Source organism: Homo sapiens, chromosome 10 (assembly GCF_000001405.40).
Source record: "Homo sapiens chromosome 10, GRCh38.p14 Primary Assembly".
Lineage (NCBI taxonomy): Eukaryota > Metazoa > Chordata > Mammalia > Primates > Hominidae > Homo > Homo sapiens.
Window position 1 is genome coordinate 66762737 of NC_000010.11, and position 19325 is coordinate 66782061.

The following is a 19325-nucleotide window of genomic DNA, read 5'->3' on the forward strand; positions in this document are numbered from 1 at the left end:
TCTGCTTTGTGTTTAGTCCTACTTTTTACTATCTTTTTGTAAAAGTTACACGTTAACCATTATTTAAAGAGTTCCTTTAACAGTGTGGAGGTTTTCTTCAAAGACTTGATAGAAATCTTTAAATATGGGCTTTTTTCTCATTTAAGTCTTACTTCAACATGTTCACTGATTTTAGATTTCTCTGACAAACATGGTTGAGGTATCAAAACAAAGACATGTTGATAATAGCTTTTTCTCAAAGTCATTTAGAATGTAAGACTTTCTGCCGTGCTATGTCAAATTGCCCAACTTGGGAATAAGATGAGTGTATGTGCATGTCTGTGGGGTGGGGTGGTAGGGAGCAAGGAAGTAGGGGATTGGTAAATAGTCTATACAAGGAGAACTCATATTGTCCTCTAAAACTGATATATTTAGGCTCTCCTATTTTCCACGAGTCTATCATAGACACTTGTGTCTCAATGTTTGTAGTAAATTACTGATGATTTTCTCTGTTGCTTTGGTTAGGAAGATCCTTTCAAAAACAGATTTTTCTGGGAGATAAATGCAGTACTTTTTCTTCTTCATGAGATAAACACACACACACACACACACACACACACACACACAGAGAGAGAGAGGGAGAGAGAGAGAAAGAGAGAAAGAGAGAGAGAGAAACAACCTAGTGTGCAAGCAGTATGCCTAAAAATCATTTTTATTTTCTCCTGTTATAGGAATCTATAAGTCTGTAAGTCTCTCAGTTGAAAAAAAAATTGTTACATCATAGAATTTAAGAAACTTGGAATGACCTTAGATATTATCCTGTCTAACTTTCACTTTATAGATAAAGCAAATGAAACCCTGAGAAGAGTAGTGACCACAAATACTTTGCTATTCCTTCTATTGAGAAATGTAGTCTCACTGCTCCCTTTTCCTGTGTCTGGGCAGTCTCTGTAATTGGTTTGACCAATAGAATACAAATGACAACTGCAGCTTCCTAATTCTTGCTTGCATTTGGGACTTCTCATCTCAGAACCCAACCACCATGCTGTGAAAAGCTGAAGCTACATGAAGAAGCCATGTATTGATGCACCAGTCGACAACCACAGCTAAGCCCCCAACTGACAGTTAACGCACTTCCAGTCATGTGAATATGCCATTTAGCATGTCCGGACTAGGCCAACCTTTGGCAGGCTCCATTCCCTGCCAGTATGTGACAGCAATCACACGAGAAACCTTAAGCAAAAATTGCCCAGCTCTTCCCAGTCAACCCATAGATTAGTGAGAGATAACAAATAGTTGCTTTAAATTTCAGGATGGTTTGTTATATACTAAAAGCTCATCAGAAATGAAAGTGACTTAGACCAAAACTTCTAAGCATTACCAGAGTGAAAACCAGAACTCAAATATCACCCCAAACCTCGTATAATCTCATTATAATGTGTTAAGGAAACATGTCGAGTTAAATGAGATCCAGTTTCAGTCTCCCAATAGTTCATAATTCCAAAAGATTTTATTCTTTCAAAATTCACATGGAATGCAGAATTTCCAAAATTCTTGAACTTTAAAACAAATTCTTAGAGCTGTGTCTACATAACAGTAAACCATCATTTGGTATAAGGTAGCATTCCCAAGTGTTCCTCGAAGGTAGTGTCTTAGTAATGTGCCATGAAAGAAAGAGAGATAAGCTGATTTAATTTGTTTAAACTAAATTAAAGAGGTCTCTTTGCTTCAGGATTTTTCAAGAATGTAAATTTTCCAAGAGGAGCTATAGATAGTACTTATTTTCTGAGAATTGTTCGACCAAGGCACCCTTCTTCATCAAAAAACTAAACTGAGAAATAGGAAGAGGAATTCAATTTTGTCAGCATAAACCAAGTTTTGCTTTCAGAGGATTTCATAAAAAGAAGTTGTTTTCATAATTTGGTGTGTCTTCAGCTTAGAGAACACATTTTTAGATAACACTTTTATGACTGTCAGGGACTGTGCTTAGTTATGTCTTTTACAACCTGTTCCCATTTCTTCCCGCCTTACTTTTAACATTCTTTGGTGTCTACAGTTAATAAATCTTTCTGGAATGTGTAGACGAAGGAATAAATAAAAGCAGATAAATAATAAATAATTCAATTAATTAAAAATTATCCTGAAATGTTTCATTAACAATGTCAATGACTATGAAGAGGCCCAAAGGTTTTTGAGTCAACCTCTCATTTAGTTTAATAACCTGGAAATTAGCTCCAACTCTAATTAGCTTGGTTTGGGTTTTATATCTTTATTTACATCTAAGGCCAATTGAAATTGTAACACTTGCCATATCTAACAGAGTTCTTGGGAAATTCAAAGAAGATTTCAAAGTTGGAGGTGGAACGGCTTTGGGCTACAAAAATTGTAGCAATCATGTATTCATCCACTCCTTTCATCTTCTAGTTCTGGAGATTGAGATCCAGAAAGAGAGTTTATAGCGCAAATGCTAGCTGCATTGGAAACCTCCTCCCCGTGGATCCACGTTAAAGATGTTAGGAAAGTTCTCTTTTTCAGTAGATGTTATATTGAATGGTGTGATTCTAATTCACGTGCTGATTATTAGACAGACTATTTACAAGCATTTGGGCCGTAAAAACATATTTGACCACAGAATTCATGACTGGTATAGGAAGGTGTGGCAGTCAAAACATTTAATAACCCATATGGCATGGCCACTGACAACCAGAGTAGACACCAGCCATGAACAACTGGTGCAGCCATGCTGATGAGTATGAGCCATACTGAATATCATCTGAGATCTATGGATCTAGTAGATAACATTTCCCACTTCTTGCCACTGGTTTGTGGCCTTGTGAATACTTTCATCTTATTTGTATTAGACATTCCTCCATTCAGGCTGTCTCTTAAATATACTTGTGTTATTGACATCCATAATACAGTAAGTTCTATTATCTCTCTCCTGGGAAGCTATCAGCACTTCACAGCTCCTTCAGCAATATGCTATCCTGTTCCAAAAATCATGGTGCATTCCCATGTCTCTAGTTTCCAAGCAGAGGGAATAATAGTTTTATGGTCTTCTTTTGCCCCTGTGGGGACATGAGCCAGTTCACTACCCCTACTTACTTATTCCTGGATATCTCTACCCTGTATATTCCTATATTCTTGTTCTGTAGTCATGCTACATAGTTAAATATGACTTGAAAGGCTGACAGAGTAATGCAGCTACAAAAAGATGGCAGAGAAATAATAAAATAATATGTGATAGAGTATTTGATACTTTTAAGTCAGAATGGGAAGAAAATATTTGTAAGGATAAATCAAAGTATTCTGCATTTAGCCAGTTCCTTTGTGAAGCTCTAATAAAATATGTGTTTAAAAAATAAGACAAGCCAATGTGGAGTGATCTATACAATCGGACATATACACCTTCATATTACTTTGGCCAGACTCTGCTGTATTTGTAACACGGTGTCAAAAGTTTTTATTTAGGTACAATTCAACCATAAATGGAGAATGGGAGCCTCATTCTCCTGGACTTTAGTGAGTTACAGTTCTAGCATGCTTACCTCTACAAGCCTGCTGGTGTGTTCATGAAATATCGCAGCATATTCTTTTATTTCCTTTTCCCGGCCATTCTTAGCAGCTTCAATGAGAACCAAAAGAGGGACTGTCGTATCCAGGAAAGAGTCTGACACATGATCTATAATAGCCTTGCGGAGCTGAGAAGAAATGAAAAATTCAGGTTTTTTTTTTCCAGGAAATAGTTCACTGTGTTTCCTTTTCTTACAATCTCAGTAGTTACACAACTCATTTTTCATTTTTGCACAATTCCTAAAATCACAATACTTAAAGATATACAAGAATGTCCCTTAAGAAACTAAAAAACAAAATATCCAGGCAAAAAGAAAAAATCATCTAGCAATATTTCCTTTCCTCTCAAAAGTAATTTTTCTTAAGTTGTATTTAACCTGGAAGTCAGATTAAAAATGGTAATACTTTCTTTTTTGCTCAAAGAAATTGTGTTATTAGAATATTTATGAGTGTGTACACATAATATTGTACATCTTGTATTTTTATAATTACAAATTATAGAATGTTTTCTACCTTGTTGGAGGAACTGATGATAAATTTTGATTAGCTAAATTGTAGACTTCATAGTAATTAAGCCAAGTTAGATCACCGATTATGCCAGTTGATAACAGATTAATAGAGCAAGAAGAATAATAAATGAGTTTGATGTCCAATTTTCCCCATTTGCATTCATTGTTCTTGCCCTCACACTTTAAATTATTAAACAACTATAACATTCTGCTACAATTAGTTCTTTTCAATTAGATTACATGTAAGCTTATTAATGACAATTAGGCAATTACTCTAGTCAGCAGATATTTTCTGAGATTTAAAACTGCACTGAAAAATTAATTCATTGTGTTTATATAATATCGAGTCTTTAAAGATCATAATATCGGGCCAGGCACAGTGGCTCATGCCTGTAATCCCAGCACTTTGGGAGGCCAAGGCAGGCGAATCACGAGGTCAGGAGTTCGAGAACAGCCTGGCCAACATGGTAAAACCCCGTCTCTACTAAAAATAAAAAAATTAGTTGGGCATAGTGGCAGGCACCTGTACTCCCAGCTACTTGGGTGGCTGAGGCAGGAAAATCACTTGAACCCAGGAGGAGGAGGTTGCAGTGAGCTGAGATCGCACCACTGCATTCTAGCCCAGGCAACAGAGTGAGACTCCATCCACTCCCCCCGACAAAAAAAAAAAAATCATAATATCCTGAAATGTTTCATTAACAATGTCAATGACTATAAATGGGCCCAAAGGTTTTTGAGTCAAGACCTTCATATAGTTCAATAACCTCTGTACAATAAAACAGATAAATAGCTGTCAGACAGAAAAATGTAATTTTTCTGTCAAAGTTACATTTTAGAGTATTTTTTTAAAAGAATAGACACTTAGTTTAGTTTTAGATTACTTGGGAATGAATAGTAATACATTTTGGGAGAGCTGAATGATAGAGCTAAATAGAAAGTACTGTCTTCTATAATGATCATAGAATAATAAATCCATAATAATTACAGGTTTCTGGAAGAAAAATATCTCTGCCCAAAATAGTGAGCTTGCTCAGAAGCATTGTGAAATTTTCTGACTATCAACAATTTAAGAAAGGCTTCAGGAAGATCCCCAAGGAAGGATTCTGCTTAGTATGCAGAAAGGCAAATTACTAGTGGCAACTAATATTTACTGAGCACTTATTAGGACAAAGTATAGAGTGCCAAGGGGTTACAAGGCAAAGGGGAGACCTTAACTGAATGAATAATGTGTTTGCTGTCTATAGGAAGTACACCAGGGAAGTCAGGCGTAAGGTCACGAATTTATTTGAGCTGGGAACTACAGGTTGTGTAAGTTTCAGATACTGAAGAGAAAAGTAGAGATTCCTTCTAATTTCTCAGAGTGGGGGCATTTTTTAATGATTATCCTCCCCTTTATTCTTTTCTTCTTTCATTCATAATTAGGACATGTAGATTATTCTTTTCTTCTTTCATTCTAATTGAGACATGTAGAAGGAAAGCTCAGATGAAATCTACACTAGAGATATGCCATGAAGGGCCAGCATATGGGAACTAACTCAAGCGGAGAGTGTGGATGAGACCATATAGAGTGAGGAGACCCACAGAGGACCTCTTAGGAAACACTATCATTTACAGGAGTCATGATTAAAGAGTAGGGCCTAAAAAGAGACTGAGATAATAGCCAAGAAACAAAGAGACAAATTACCCACAACTAAAAGACAAACTTTCAAATATATCTCTGTGTTAATGCTCTTCAAATGTAGTTATCCTACCAAACATAACTATAATATTCCCATCATGGACTTGTTAAATCTTCTCTGCTGTGTAAATGATTTCATTCAATTCAGTAAATATTTCTGGAAACCATTTCCTCACCTTTCTACCAAGAGAAAGGTATTGAAGGAAATGTTAAGATGGAAATTCATGATCCCTTATAATCTAGTAGAAGAGTGAATATTACAATAATACATTAAACATTACAATAAAGAAAAACTTAGAGACTGACAGCAAAAAAAAAAATTAGAGTCAAATTTTAAAGATAAATTAAATTAAAAAAAAGGAATGAGACTTGTCCCTTGGGCTTGAATACTAAGAGGTTATTGATAAACTTGGTAAGAGCAGTTTCAGTGGAAAAGTGGGCTGAAGAGTCCTATTGCTATGGTTTGAAGAGTGAATGAGAGATAAGGCAGTAAAGACAGTGAGTATAAACTTCTGTTTTTAATAATTTGATTGTGACATGAAGAAGCAAGACTTGGTATTTACTACTCTGAGATATATGTTTAAAGAGTGACTGTTTTTCATATAAAGACTTCACTATAATTTCCCATCTGCAACTATAGCCAAAAAGTCTTATTACTCCCCTTTGCTTTGCTGGAAATACATATTGATTTATTGCCAAAGCAAGAATAACAGGTGAAAAAGAACTATTGTCTCACATTGTGCCAACTTTTGTCATCTTTTCGTCCCATGACAGAAGGAAATGCCCAGAAATCAGTGACTTGAGCTGGATGTGAATGAAACCTTTAGGAGCTAGCACATGGTCAGAGGCAGGGATGTATCTCTCCCACTGAAATCATCTTAACCCATGCAAAAAACAAAGTGTAACTAATTCAACCAACCCACAATATTCTCACCAGTCTAACCATTCTCCCTGTCTAACTTGCTGGTTCCTGATCCTTTACCTTCACTATTATGAACTACATTATAGACTTTTGGTGCCTTATATCTCATCCTCTGGATCTATCTCTGATTTCAGCTTTTGCTGGGGGGAACAGTTCCATGTCCTCTGAAGACATTCCATGCTTCTTGTGTGCCTTCCTTGTGTCTCTTTGTTATTCTATCTCAGGGCCTGTTCCAAGTCTCTGTGAAATTCTCAACCCAGCATAAACACTGCCTGGAAGTTCTTCAGCGTCCACACCACTGGGGGAAACCCTCAACCTATGCGGATAGAAACTACTGCATAAAATTCCTACCCTCCATCCATTAGTCAGACAATTCTGGGAAACATTCTGTTATTCTCAGAGATCCTCAAGCTCTCATTGCCTACAGCAGCAATCTCAATAGCATATCATTTCCTCTTTCCCTGCCTCGCTTTTCATGTTCTATAACACTTGCTTCCAGGAATCACCTCCTAAATAAATGACCTGCACTAAGGTCCTAGTTTTAGTCACTGCTTTCAGGAAAACCCATCTAAACAGGTACCTTTGTCTGGTATTAATGTTGTTTGATCATGCACCAAGTAAGAGACTCCAATGTCTTATGTAAACTACTCATTGCTAATTATACTCTACTACCTTGGCTCTGTACATCACTGGGTTTTGTTCTGCCATGCCCTGAATTATACTCACTGTAAAAGAGGAATTATTATGAGACAGGACTAGAAATGTAGGTAGGGACAAGATGTGAAAGGACTAGAATGTTATGCTAAGCAATTTTCATTATATGTTCTGACATATTCATATGGAATTGTTTTCATTAAATTGTATAGTCATATATACCTACATATAACAGCAAAGTAGCCTCTATCTTATTTATTTCCGCATTATTTTCCTGCCCAGTGGCACAATGCATTCCTTTCAGTTGGGTGATATACAAAAAGTTTAAAGAAGAATGCAATATGCCAATATAGAAATGGAAGCCAAAGCACTAAAATCTGAAGTTAGTGGGAGGCCAATAGGAATTACAGATACATACTTTCAATAAATACCTGTTTGTGGCCAGGCATGAAAGATGTTAGAACAAAACCAAACTGAGGTGCTTTTCATCTTTTCTCACTACAGTTTAATAAAAGGCTTTGAGACATCAATTTTTCTATTTCCTACTGATGTAAGTGGTTTGGGATCTCAAAATAATATATATCACTACAATTGAAGCCCAAAGTGAAAGCCCTATGTGAAAAGTCTAAAAAAGCCCCACCATTCCCACCAAATAAAGGAACAGAAAGAATGAAATTGTGATGGGAAGGGGAATGGAAAGGGGAGAAAGTGTTTCAGAAAGGAATCATCTTCAGGGAAACAGAAAAATACATTTAGACTAAAATATTTTATGTTAAAATATTGTATTAAATTTTAATAAATTAACAGTATTTAAATTTTAATAAATATTTTAAATTAAAAGCCATTTTAATTTAAATCAAATAGCAAAATGTGATTTTTAAAGCTTGGAATTAAATGTACTAATAATTATTTCACTGTGTATGTACTATGTAAGTTTAGTGAAACTTGTCTCTTGTGGATACATAATGTTATTTGATGATGAGGATGATGACCAGGAGGTATAAAAGCCTACATATTTTTTTCTGAGTGGTGAACTGGTACTATGCAACATGGAAGAGAGATGGACCTAACAATTCAGAAACTCAGCAACTAAAGAATTAATCAAGTTTTTGTTTTGTCTGTTTTTACCAAAATCCCATTTGACATACTTCATCTTTACTTTGATATTTATGAAATAAAAGACATTTTTCTTAATATACACAAATACAAATTTTAGCCTGCCTTTAGTGAAATCAAATATATTTTAGTATGTATAGTAAAATAGAAATAAGATATATTTGTTGCTTAAATTTTTTTATAAAGTAAAGAATGTTTAAAAAGTCTTCCTCCTTTTACTGAGAGAGTTGCAATAGGTATACAGTTTTCAAATGAATGATGGAAAAAGAGGCTAAAGAAAGAAGAAAATTTAACTTTAAAAAGGCATTTAAAACAAATAATAAAGAAAATAATACATGATGGTAAAATCAGTGTATTAGGCACTGGGAGGTTCTGAAAGTGAATAGGCCATAATCCCTAGCCCCTGGTGTGGTGATTACACATATGGGCTGGGGTTGGATGGACCTGGGCTAGAACTGTGTCTCTATCACGTAGCTGGGTGATGTTTGCTATGTTAACTCATTTTGGGGGACAAAGATAACAATACCATGGCATTATTTATTGTTTTAGGAATAAAAATTAATAATGTAATGAATATGCTTGGTAGAGAGCTTTGCAAAGCATTTAGTAAATGAGAGATGTTGTCATAGCTATCATTATAAGGACTTAAAATGCAGTGGGAAGAAAACTCATTACAAAAGAAAAAAATAGAAGAATATAATCATTGCTGTAATATGCACATGCTGTAAGTGTTCCAGGAAGAAAAAGGTCCATTCCAGCTGGTGAAAACAGCAAAGGTTTCATGGAAGCAATAGCATTTACACTACTCTGGAATTTAGTTGCTTATGAGTTGGGGTTGTGTGTAAGGAGAGTGAGTGGGGAAGGCATCAAGCTGTACAAGTCATATGTACAAAGATGCAAGTGTATTTGAGCGGGAGGTGATGCAAATTCTGGTAAATAACAAGTAGATTCTTTCATCAGAAAACAGGTTAATGTGGGCCAGGCCTGGTGGCTCACACCTGTAATCCCAGCACTTTGGGAGGCCGAGGTGGGCAGATCACAAGGTCAGGAGTTCGAGACCAGCCTGGCCAACATGGTGAAACCCTGTCTCTACTAAAAATACAAAAAAGTAGCAGGGTGTGGTGGCATGCATCTGTAATCCCAGCTACTTAGGAGGCTGAGGCAGGAGAATTGCCTGAACCTGGGAGGCGGAGGTTGCAACGAGCCGAGATCACACCACTGCACTCCAGCCTGGGCGGTACAGTGAGACTCTGTCTCAAACAAAAAAAAAAAAAAGAGAGAGAGAGAAAAGAAAACAGGTTAATGTGTTGGTGTGATGAGGAGGACACAACACTGCGAAGGAGAGCTGAAGGAAAAGGAACATTAAGAATAATGGGGATTAAGTCAGGGCCAAATCACAGAGAACCTAGAACACCATGCCAAGAACATTTGTCTTTGTTCTCTAGTAAAACAGGCAAGAAAGTCACAGAGGAAGAAGATTGAAACAAATAAATACTCTCGCCTCCTAGAACATTCCATCTTGATGTCCTCAAATCTATAATTTGCTTCTCCTTAGATATTTCTAAGCAATCTCTGTCATTCCTCTTGGAAGAAATCCAATCACCCTCTGAACTGAAGCTGAAATGTTTCTGCATTACTGATAGAAAGGCCATGGTTAAGAAAGGGGATAAGGATGAATGGGCAGGAAGATGGGCTCTGCTTATTTTTTACTAAAAAAAGTTTTAAAAGATAAAACCAGTTCTAAAGCAAACGATGAACATTAAATACTCCAAAGAAAAACATTTTAAGGGCAGTGCTTTCTCTTTCCTGTGAGAAGAACTATATGTGAGATGCTTACAACAACTGTTGGATAAACTTCTTAAGAACAAGAAGTAGAGATAACTTATATTGCTGTTTTAATTAACTGTGACTTCTACCAAAAATGTAAACATCAGGATGAAAAATAAAGTACTAGGGGGAGGGTAAGTGAGGATAATGAGAAAGAATCATAGCAACTAACTTCATCAAAACGGAAGATCATGGAGGTGTTCAAAGACAGCTTCTAACAATTCCATCCATTCCTGTACACACATACCACTTCTCCTACAACAGACAGAACTTCTGCCTACTCCTATTGAACTGGGACAGGGTTTTTGACTGTTTTTTACTTACAGATTATAGAGGAAATAGCATTCTCTGACTTTGGAGCTAAGGCACTAAGAATGCTTGTCAGCTTCCGTCTCCCTTTTCTTGGCAACTTGAAACAGCATGAAAGAGATCTAGGCTACCCTGCTAGAGATTGAAGCCACATGGAGAGGCCCTAAAACATTAGGCACCGTATCGAGAGAGGGAACAGGAAGAAGCACTGAGGTTCCAAACATCAAGTCCCAAATCTAGCCACAGATGCCATTTGACTGCCACTATGTGGAAAACCACAAGTGAAAACGGTACAGAAAATGGCCCCGCTGACGCCCAGCCAACCCAAGACATCGTGAGATGCAAATATCGTTGCTACTGTTTGTGGTGGTTTGTTAAACACTGATAGAAAATTGAAACAATGGAGATGTTAACCTGTGAAACCATACAGAATGTTAATACCTTCAGAGCACAGCAGTTTTCTACAAGATGGGAGTATCTTCTTACTATGAAGAATAGTATTAGTAATCCCCAATGCTATTTCTATATCTCACTGATGGTAGTGAGGTGGAAATACAAGTAGGATTGCAATATAAAATACAAGATGCTCGGTTACATTTGAATTTCAGATGAACAACTTTTTAAATATAAGTATGTACCATACAATATTTGGGACATAATTATACTAAACCATGTTTGTTGTTAATCTGAAATTCAAATTTAACTGGGTGCCTTGTGCTTTTATTTGCTAAATCTGGTAATTCCACACACAAGTAATTGCATTTTCTTGACTTTATTTAGAAAAATAATAATTCTAAAACCTTTAGAAGTATAAATGTAGATTAGCTCTTTATGCATAATGTTGTTGAAGGCAATATAGAGGGAAAAGACACGAACGAGAGACACAATCATTGAGAGCTCATAGAGACAACTTTTCTGAGTCCTAGGTGAAGCAGATGGGGTAGAAATCCTGAAGACGATGGAGAATAGGGATCATTCCACGAAAGGGGAGGATCGCTCTGAGGATATAAATTTCTGAGTCCTGGTACAGGTTCTGACTCGGTGCCCCATCCTCTTAGGCAGGTCACCTCACCACACTGACCTGCTTTCTCATTTGCATCGTAAGACAGGTTGTGCTAAGTTCCTTCTGACTCTTACATTCCATGATTACAAGTGTAAATGGTAGAAACAGAATTCACATTAAGGGCATAAAGTTGAGAAACTGAGATTTTCACAGACTTCAACATTATGTTTTTATGCAGCTATTATTAACTGGCTGGAGATCTCTATTCCATTTCCAAATCTACGTCCAAATTAAAAGATTGCTTAGCCATTTTACTAAATCTTGCCATTAAACTACGATAATACATTGCATTAAAAGTTCATAGTTGAAAAGCTTTTTCTCCCTTTTGATGAGTTAATGATGACCAAGTGAAAGTTCTGCATGAGAAAGAACTCTGGTTATTGAACAGAGGAAAGGAATGAAGAGCAAATGTCTTTGAAAATAGCTAAGTCTTCCTATTTCTGGAAAAATGTTTAACTTGTGGCATCATACTAGACTTATAAATTGTTTAATGAAATTCTTTCTAATCCCATGTTCCTGATGACTTAAGGTTAAAAAGAAGGCTTAACTTTTACAAAAACTAATTTTTGAAGTATCATGAAAAAAAATGGAAGGAGGAATGGGTAGGGTCTCTGAATTACTTACTAGTTAATCATTTGGATTTAAGCATTTGGATGATGAACTCTGATGTAATACAATCAATTGATCAACATTCCCTAAAAACTTGCTATGGGTCAGGCACTTACATGCATTTTATTGATTCCTCACAGCCCTATTGCATATTATTAATTTCATTGTATAGGTTCAAAGCAGCTCAGAGAGCTGAAATATGTGCCGAAGATCTCACAACTGATGAGAACAGAACCAGAATTTGAATGTAATTCTGTCTGATAAGGCACACATTCTTTCTCTGCTTTGTATTTGCCACAAAAAACATTTGAGGTATGAATATATAAATGTGGAAAGTATATATTTACTCTTTTTTTCCTGTTCTAAATTAATTTGAAAGGAACAAAACAAGAAACAAATATGCCTGCAATGAATAACAGTTTCATTTAGCCCCTATGTTTCTGACTCCATATCTCTCTCTTCCCTCACCTGTCTGCGAAGGTCTCTTGTCTTCTTACACATGTTGTCTAAAGCAATATTCAGGGTATTACTCCTTTCTTTTTTTCCAGCCTGCAAAGAAGAAAAAACGACATAAGCAATGGTATCAATTAATCTTTATCACTTAGCAATTTGCTTTCTAAATTTCCTGAAAATAACAGCTTGAAATTCAAGAATAGGTTTCAAAACTGCTATATTATATATGATTCATGAGCATTTCACTTAAGACTAAGTAGAATGGTGATTAAAGCTCACATTATTTTCATCTTTATGCTTCTGTAATATTTCCGATACGGAGTTAGGTTGTATTCAGTGTGACAATAGGCAGAGCATTATCTTCATGAAACTCTGATCTTCATTTTTAACAAGTCAAATCTTAAATCACTAAGCAGGCAATTAGCTTAAAAGCATTAGATGCCCAATTTGTCAACTTCTGTGGGAGTTTCTAAAGTCATTTCCATGGTGTATTGTGTAAGTTATGCAGAGCCATATTGGAATTTTGCTAAACACTAAATAAAGTATGCAGTGCAAATTCATACAATTTGCAAAAGTTGACCACAATTTTAGCTGACAATATTCCAAGAACAAATTGTTTTAAGTAAGAACTGGACGCTGTTTTTGGCTCTTTAAGATAATTTGTGCAACACCTTTTTATTCTTTGAGCAGAACAGCTCTCTGTTATATCCTTAACCTAAATCTTTAGGCTATTAAGCACATAGAGAGTCACCTTGGTTGGTATTTTCTACATATTATTTTTGTGCAAGACAACTGGATTAAATCTAATCATACTTTTTGCAGTGATATCTCACATAAAAGAGATTGGAAAAATCATTATGTGATTCACCTCTAGGAAAATTGCTGCTGTTTAAATTAATAAACTGAAAAGGGATCTTGAGAGAAGACCTTGAAAATCAGGAAGGCAAGTTTAAGCAGCTGATAACTGAAGGGGGTTACAGCACGAACTCAATGAAAAAGGACACTGAGGCCAAGTATAAACCACGAGGAAGCATGTCTGACACTTTCCCCAATGACTAAACTCATGCATAAACCCATACCCTGCAGTGGACTCCCTAACAAGAAATTTAAAAACTCTCTATACTCTGTCCTAACCTACTTTTTTACTCTTATGTACTGCTATATACTCTCCTTTACAGTAGCAATATTCCTATAATTTTCTGTCTCTTCTCCCCAGTTCTTACATGTAATGTACCTTTGATTTCAGAGATCATCTTCTAAAACACCTACTGAAGTCCTATCTACTCCTCACTGGTTTCTACAGGGAGTTCTTCCAACAACCCTGCTCAAAAGTAAAGTCTCACTTTTCCTTTTTCCAACAGCATTTTGAGTGTTTTTCAATATAATCATTTTATTTATGTGCATCCCCCTTATGATACTGTTAGAATCCTGATATTGGCAAATATATCTCAATTTTTTTTCTATTCCTGATAGTAACTTACATAGGACTTATCAAATAGAGTTGACTAGACTATAAATGAGCAATTTAATTCAAAACACAACATAGTTTGATTAGAGGCCTACTGTTTTCCAGGAAGGTGTCATTCTAGAGACTCTGGAGGAGATTTTAGCATTTAGCTCTCAAGGCACAGCTAAAGTTCTCTATGAGCTGAGGTTGCTGGTATCTACCTCAAACTCAGGTCAACCTATATTTTCCCAACAGCAGTGTTACTGATATTTAAAGTGTGAAAAATGGCCATCATTGGAGATCATTCGATACACTGCAAGATATCTGGCATTCGTGGACCCAGGTCTGCTAAATTCAATACCAAATCTGGCGCACTGTGACAGCCAAAAATTGGCACCACATATGTTCAGCTGCCTCCTATAGGAAGACACAGTAGAAGGCCAGTAAGTCTTTACCATGTTTTAGTTTCTTATAAAGAGATTGTGGAATGTGTACACCATGGAAACTGTGTCTAGGGAAGAGAGAAGTAAGAAAAGGGAAATAGGAGAGATTTGGTTAGGTTATTTCTATGAGCACTAATAACATTCTGGATATCAGAGCAATGGCAGCAATTACACAGATGAAAGTTGTGGCTACCTTCACAGCTCCTACTCAGCATTCTCTATGCTAGCAGTGGGGAATTATGAAGAGCTAACTCATGACTATACAGGACAATGGCATAAACAGATACACAATGAGCTCTCAGACAGTTTATAATTTTACCTAAAGAACCCAGCCCTTATTCTCTAGCTTCATGCAGTGTTTGCTCTTGGTTGTATCGCTTTCCACTTCATGAAAGCAGAGATAATAAAAAAGAGGCAGAAGTGGGACAGACAAAGAGACCTCCTACACACACACACACACACACACACACACACACACATGCACACACACACACACACACACAGTATCAGGAATAATATGGGAGACTCCTGTTGTGTTGGCTGTAAAAACCCGCTAGCTTCTGTGGTGTGATTCATCAGAACAACTAAAAAATGTCAGCTTTCTCAGAGCTAGCAGCAGAAGCATACCAAACTTTAAATAAAGGATGACAGGAGGTGACAGCACAAAGAGATTCAATAGGAACTATAAAAATTATTCCCTAATTTCTACCCAGAGCTTAACCCTAGTTTAAAATGTTTCACTGGGTCAAAGACATTTCATTGTCTAGGCAATAATAAACAGTCCCTATCATGACAGGAAGTTTAAAGGTCTCCCTTCTTGCTTTTTTCTCCCTTGATCCCCTATCCCCAACCACAATCACCTTTCTACTTTTTCACCTCCGGCTTTTTATTGGATCCTTGCTCTATTTATCTAGATTTATTTGGCTTCAGTCAAGCCATTTTATGCCTCTTTATTCCTTTTGCATAGCATAAAAATAAATAAGGCAAGGAGAAATAGCCCCGTCCTGCTTAAAGGCCCTCATTCCTTCTTTTTTCAAAGCCTTAACAAATCATCAATGAGCTCGGACTAAAGGTGAATTCTGTGTTCTGAGACAAGAGATGGAAATGGCAGGATATTAAAACACAACTGCAGATAACAGTCAGAACCTGCCTATATCCCGAGTGCTCAGAAAAGAGACTGCTCCTTAAAGAAATCCTTGACAGAAGCCATTATTAAGTCAGCAAATCCCTGCTAATGGAAAAGGGACCACTTACAGTGGAGTGTCAGGCAGATAGACACTCACATGGCACAGGTCAGCACTGTATAGGGAAAGCAGTCACATTCTTCATCTGTAAACAAACTGCCAAGAAAGACTTTATTAAAAAAAAAAATTCTGGGCCGAGTGCGGTGGCTCAGCCTGTAATCCCAGCATTTTGTGAGGCCAAGGCAGGTGGATCACCTGAGGTCAGGAGTTCAAGACCAGCCTGGCCAACATGGTGAAACACCATCTTTACTAAACATACAAGAATTAGCTGGGCATGGTGGCGCATATCTGTAATCCCAACTACTTGCGAGGCTAAGGCAGGAGAATTGCTTGAACCCAGGAGGCGGAAGTTGCAGTGAGCCGAGATCGCGCCACTGCACTCCAGCCTGGCAACAGAGCAAGACTCCATATCAAAAAACATTTAAATAAAAATAAATAAAATAAAATAGTAAATAAGAAATAGACAACCAAAAAATCCCAACCCTCAAAGTGCTTACTCCCTAGTGGAGAAACATAAGGTCTAATTATGTCCCTCCTTTGCTCTAAAACCCTTCACTGTATCCCTACTGATGAAATTAAGAACAAAGTCTTGATCATTGTGTTCAAAGCCTCATATAATCTACTTCTGTATTTACTAAACCACTAATAAGACACCTTAATGGGTCTTTTCTATTCTCTGCAATATGATTACAACTCAAGAACTCTGCTAGTATAAATACCTCTCTTTTCATTTCTTGTCTCTTACTTTTCTTGTTATGGACTCCTTCCTTCCTTCCTTCTTTCTTTTCTTTCTTTTCTTTCTCTTTCTTTCTTTCCAAATGTTTTGTTCTGTTGCCCAGGCTAGAGTGCAGTAGTGCCATCTCGGCTCACTGCAACCTATGCCTCCTGGGTTCAAGTGATTCTCCTGCCTTAGCCTCCTGAGTAGCTGGGATTACAGGTGCCTACCACCATGCCTGGCTTATTTTTTTTTTTGTACTTTTAGTAGAGGTGGGTTTTCACCATGTCAGCCAGGCTGGTCTTGAACTCCTGACCTCAGGTGATCCTCCTGCCTTGGCCTCCCAGTGCTGGGATTACAGGCATAAGCCACTGCACCTGGCCTGGTTATGGACCTCTTTCAAGGTATAACTCAGTTACTAAATTTTACATAGAGCCTTTGTTGATCTTCTCATTTGCAATTAATTACTCTCTTCCATGATACTTTCTTATAGTTCTTATACTTCTTTTATAACACTTGGTTTAATAAATAGGTCAACATAGTCAACAAATCTTTATCATCTACTATATGCGGGACACCATGCTAAGAACTAGTCGCTGCCTTTCAGGTGCACAAATCTAGTGATAGACATAAACACAGTAGTTTATAGAGGTACCTAGGATAACACATGGATTGATGAGAGCAGCACTCTCAATAATGATGAAGGAAGCATTCTTGAGTAGGTAACAATTGAGTATTACAGGATATATAAAAGTCAGCCAGGTGAAGAGAAGAGAAAAAGCTTATCAGGGACAGGTATAGCCTGAGCAAAGGTAAAGGTCCTTAAAGATTATTTGGTTATTAGTAAAAGTGTTAGGAGAGGCCTGATCCTGGAGGTCTTTGCTATGCCAAGAAATGAGCTTAACCCTATAGACAACTGGGAGTCATAGAAGTTAAGAAAATGAATGATACAATCAGTCCATTATATCAAACCGGCTGTGGAGTCTGCACAATGGATTTGAGGAGATGACAAGCAGAAATAGAAGCATTAAATGGTCACAGTAATAGTCCACAGAGAGATGAACAGTGTTGAAACTAATGCAATGGCAGTCAGGATAAAGAAAAACCACAGACTTAAGGACTCTATAATAGAGTAACCTGGGTAGGAGGATGACTGGCAGATGCTGGCAGGTGAAGGAAAGAGAACAATCTAGGCTGATGTCCTGGTTTCCAGCAGTGACAGCTGGCTAGATGATGGAGTTGTGAACTGAAATTGTCATTTCAAGGAGAAAGCCAGGTCAACACAAGGATGATGATTTCAGCCTGGGAACTGCTGAAGGGCTCATAAAGAGCTCATTTCATTAGTATTTGTCCTATGCTTAATTACTTACCTGAATGTGTCTTTCTCACTAGATGGTATGATCCTTGAAATATAAAAATATCTTACATATATTTTGTCCCTCAAAGGATCTAGCACAGTGCTTTGCACATAGTAGGGGCTCAACAGTTATTTGTTAAATAAATAGAGAAATAGAAGACTGGATAAGGTTTTGGCAGATCCCATTACGTTTCTGGGCCTTAATTTCCAAACCCATAAAATGAATATTTGTCCTAAATTGTTTCTATATTCCTTTCTAACTTTAAAATTCTATGAAAGGGCCATGTTCTCTAAAAGGAAGAATTGTAGAATAATATGTTACTTTTATTGCACAATTTCTTGCATAAACAGCCATTGAAAATATGTCAAAACATGTGTGTGTAATACGAAGCTGAAAATAAAAGGAGACGTTTGAAATAGGAAGGCCATGATGCTCACCCTATAAATTATGAAGCCTCAAACACTAAGAGATGAGGTTTAAAGCAAATAAAAATTTATCTAATTCATAGTCAAATGAAAATCAGTGCAGAGGAGCCCTGTGTGGAATTCAAACAGCAGGAAAATGTTTTTTGTTGTTGTTTTTGTTGTTGTTATTGTTATGTTTTATTTTTGTTTTGTAAGTGTGTGCCATTTTATTCAACCTTTTAAAATGATGCATTTTCCTTTTAATGGTAAAAGATGAAATATGATACCCTTAAACTTAGTTCTTCTCTAAAGAAATTGCTTGAAAAATAGTTTATGCTTAGCACATAGCACAGGCACAGATTCTAGTCTACATTTTTCAGGCATGAAAGACACACAAACAGACAAGTATAAGAAAGAAAAATGAAATCTCTCCTTCTAGAATACCACTGTACTGAATGGCGTATCAGGAAGACACCTGATGGGGCATGCTAAATGATCTGTCAGAAATAAGGTCTATAATGTGAAAATACAACTAAAACAAGCCAAAAATTAACTCTGAGTTTTGAAATGAGGTTTTTAAAAATTAACCATATAAGAATAGAATGATTTAGCTAACAGAGGAAGTAGGATGAAGACTACAAATGTCTTGAACTTTTGTATTGTTTGGGAAAGTAAGATGCCATCCCCATGTAGATGCCTGCTGGGGTATGTCTGGAAGTCAGTGAGAGGGAAACAACATTGTGTCAAATGTCTACCACATATAATAAGTACTTTACACGTACTGTCTCAACTGCTGTTCACAATAACTCTACACACATTTGTATGTGAAGACACTGAGGTTCAGTAAATTTAAATGTCCTGCCTCTGGAGGACACACAGTAAATTGTGTGTCAGGTAGAACTGTGTCCCATCTCAGACTTAAGCCACCATACCATGACAACTTGAAGCCACTGTAACTTAAACTCAATATATCTGTTATGTAAGCTTTATAAAAGTATTTATAAAATATAATGAGCAGAATA

The 19325-nt window shown here is 36.7% G+C and overlaps 1 protein-coding gene across 8 annotated transcripts in view; it reads right to left on the reverse strand.

Annotated features, from left to right (window-relative positions):
- Positions 1-19325, reverse strand: part of CTNNA3 (catenin alpha 3) — a 1851072-nt gene that overhangs the window by 850214 nt on the left and 981533 nt on the right. For all 8 annotated transcript variants that reach the window (XM_047425124.1, NM_013266.4, XM_017016152.2 and 5 more), the window contains 2 exons: positions 12708-12788; positions 3528-3680 (listed from right to left, as the gene is read on the reverse strand). In XM_047425124.1, coding sequence (XP_047281080.1) covers positions 3528-3680; positions 12708-12788 — 234 coding nt within the window. The remainder of the gene's footprint in view (positions 1-3527; positions 3681-12707; positions 12789-19325) is intronic.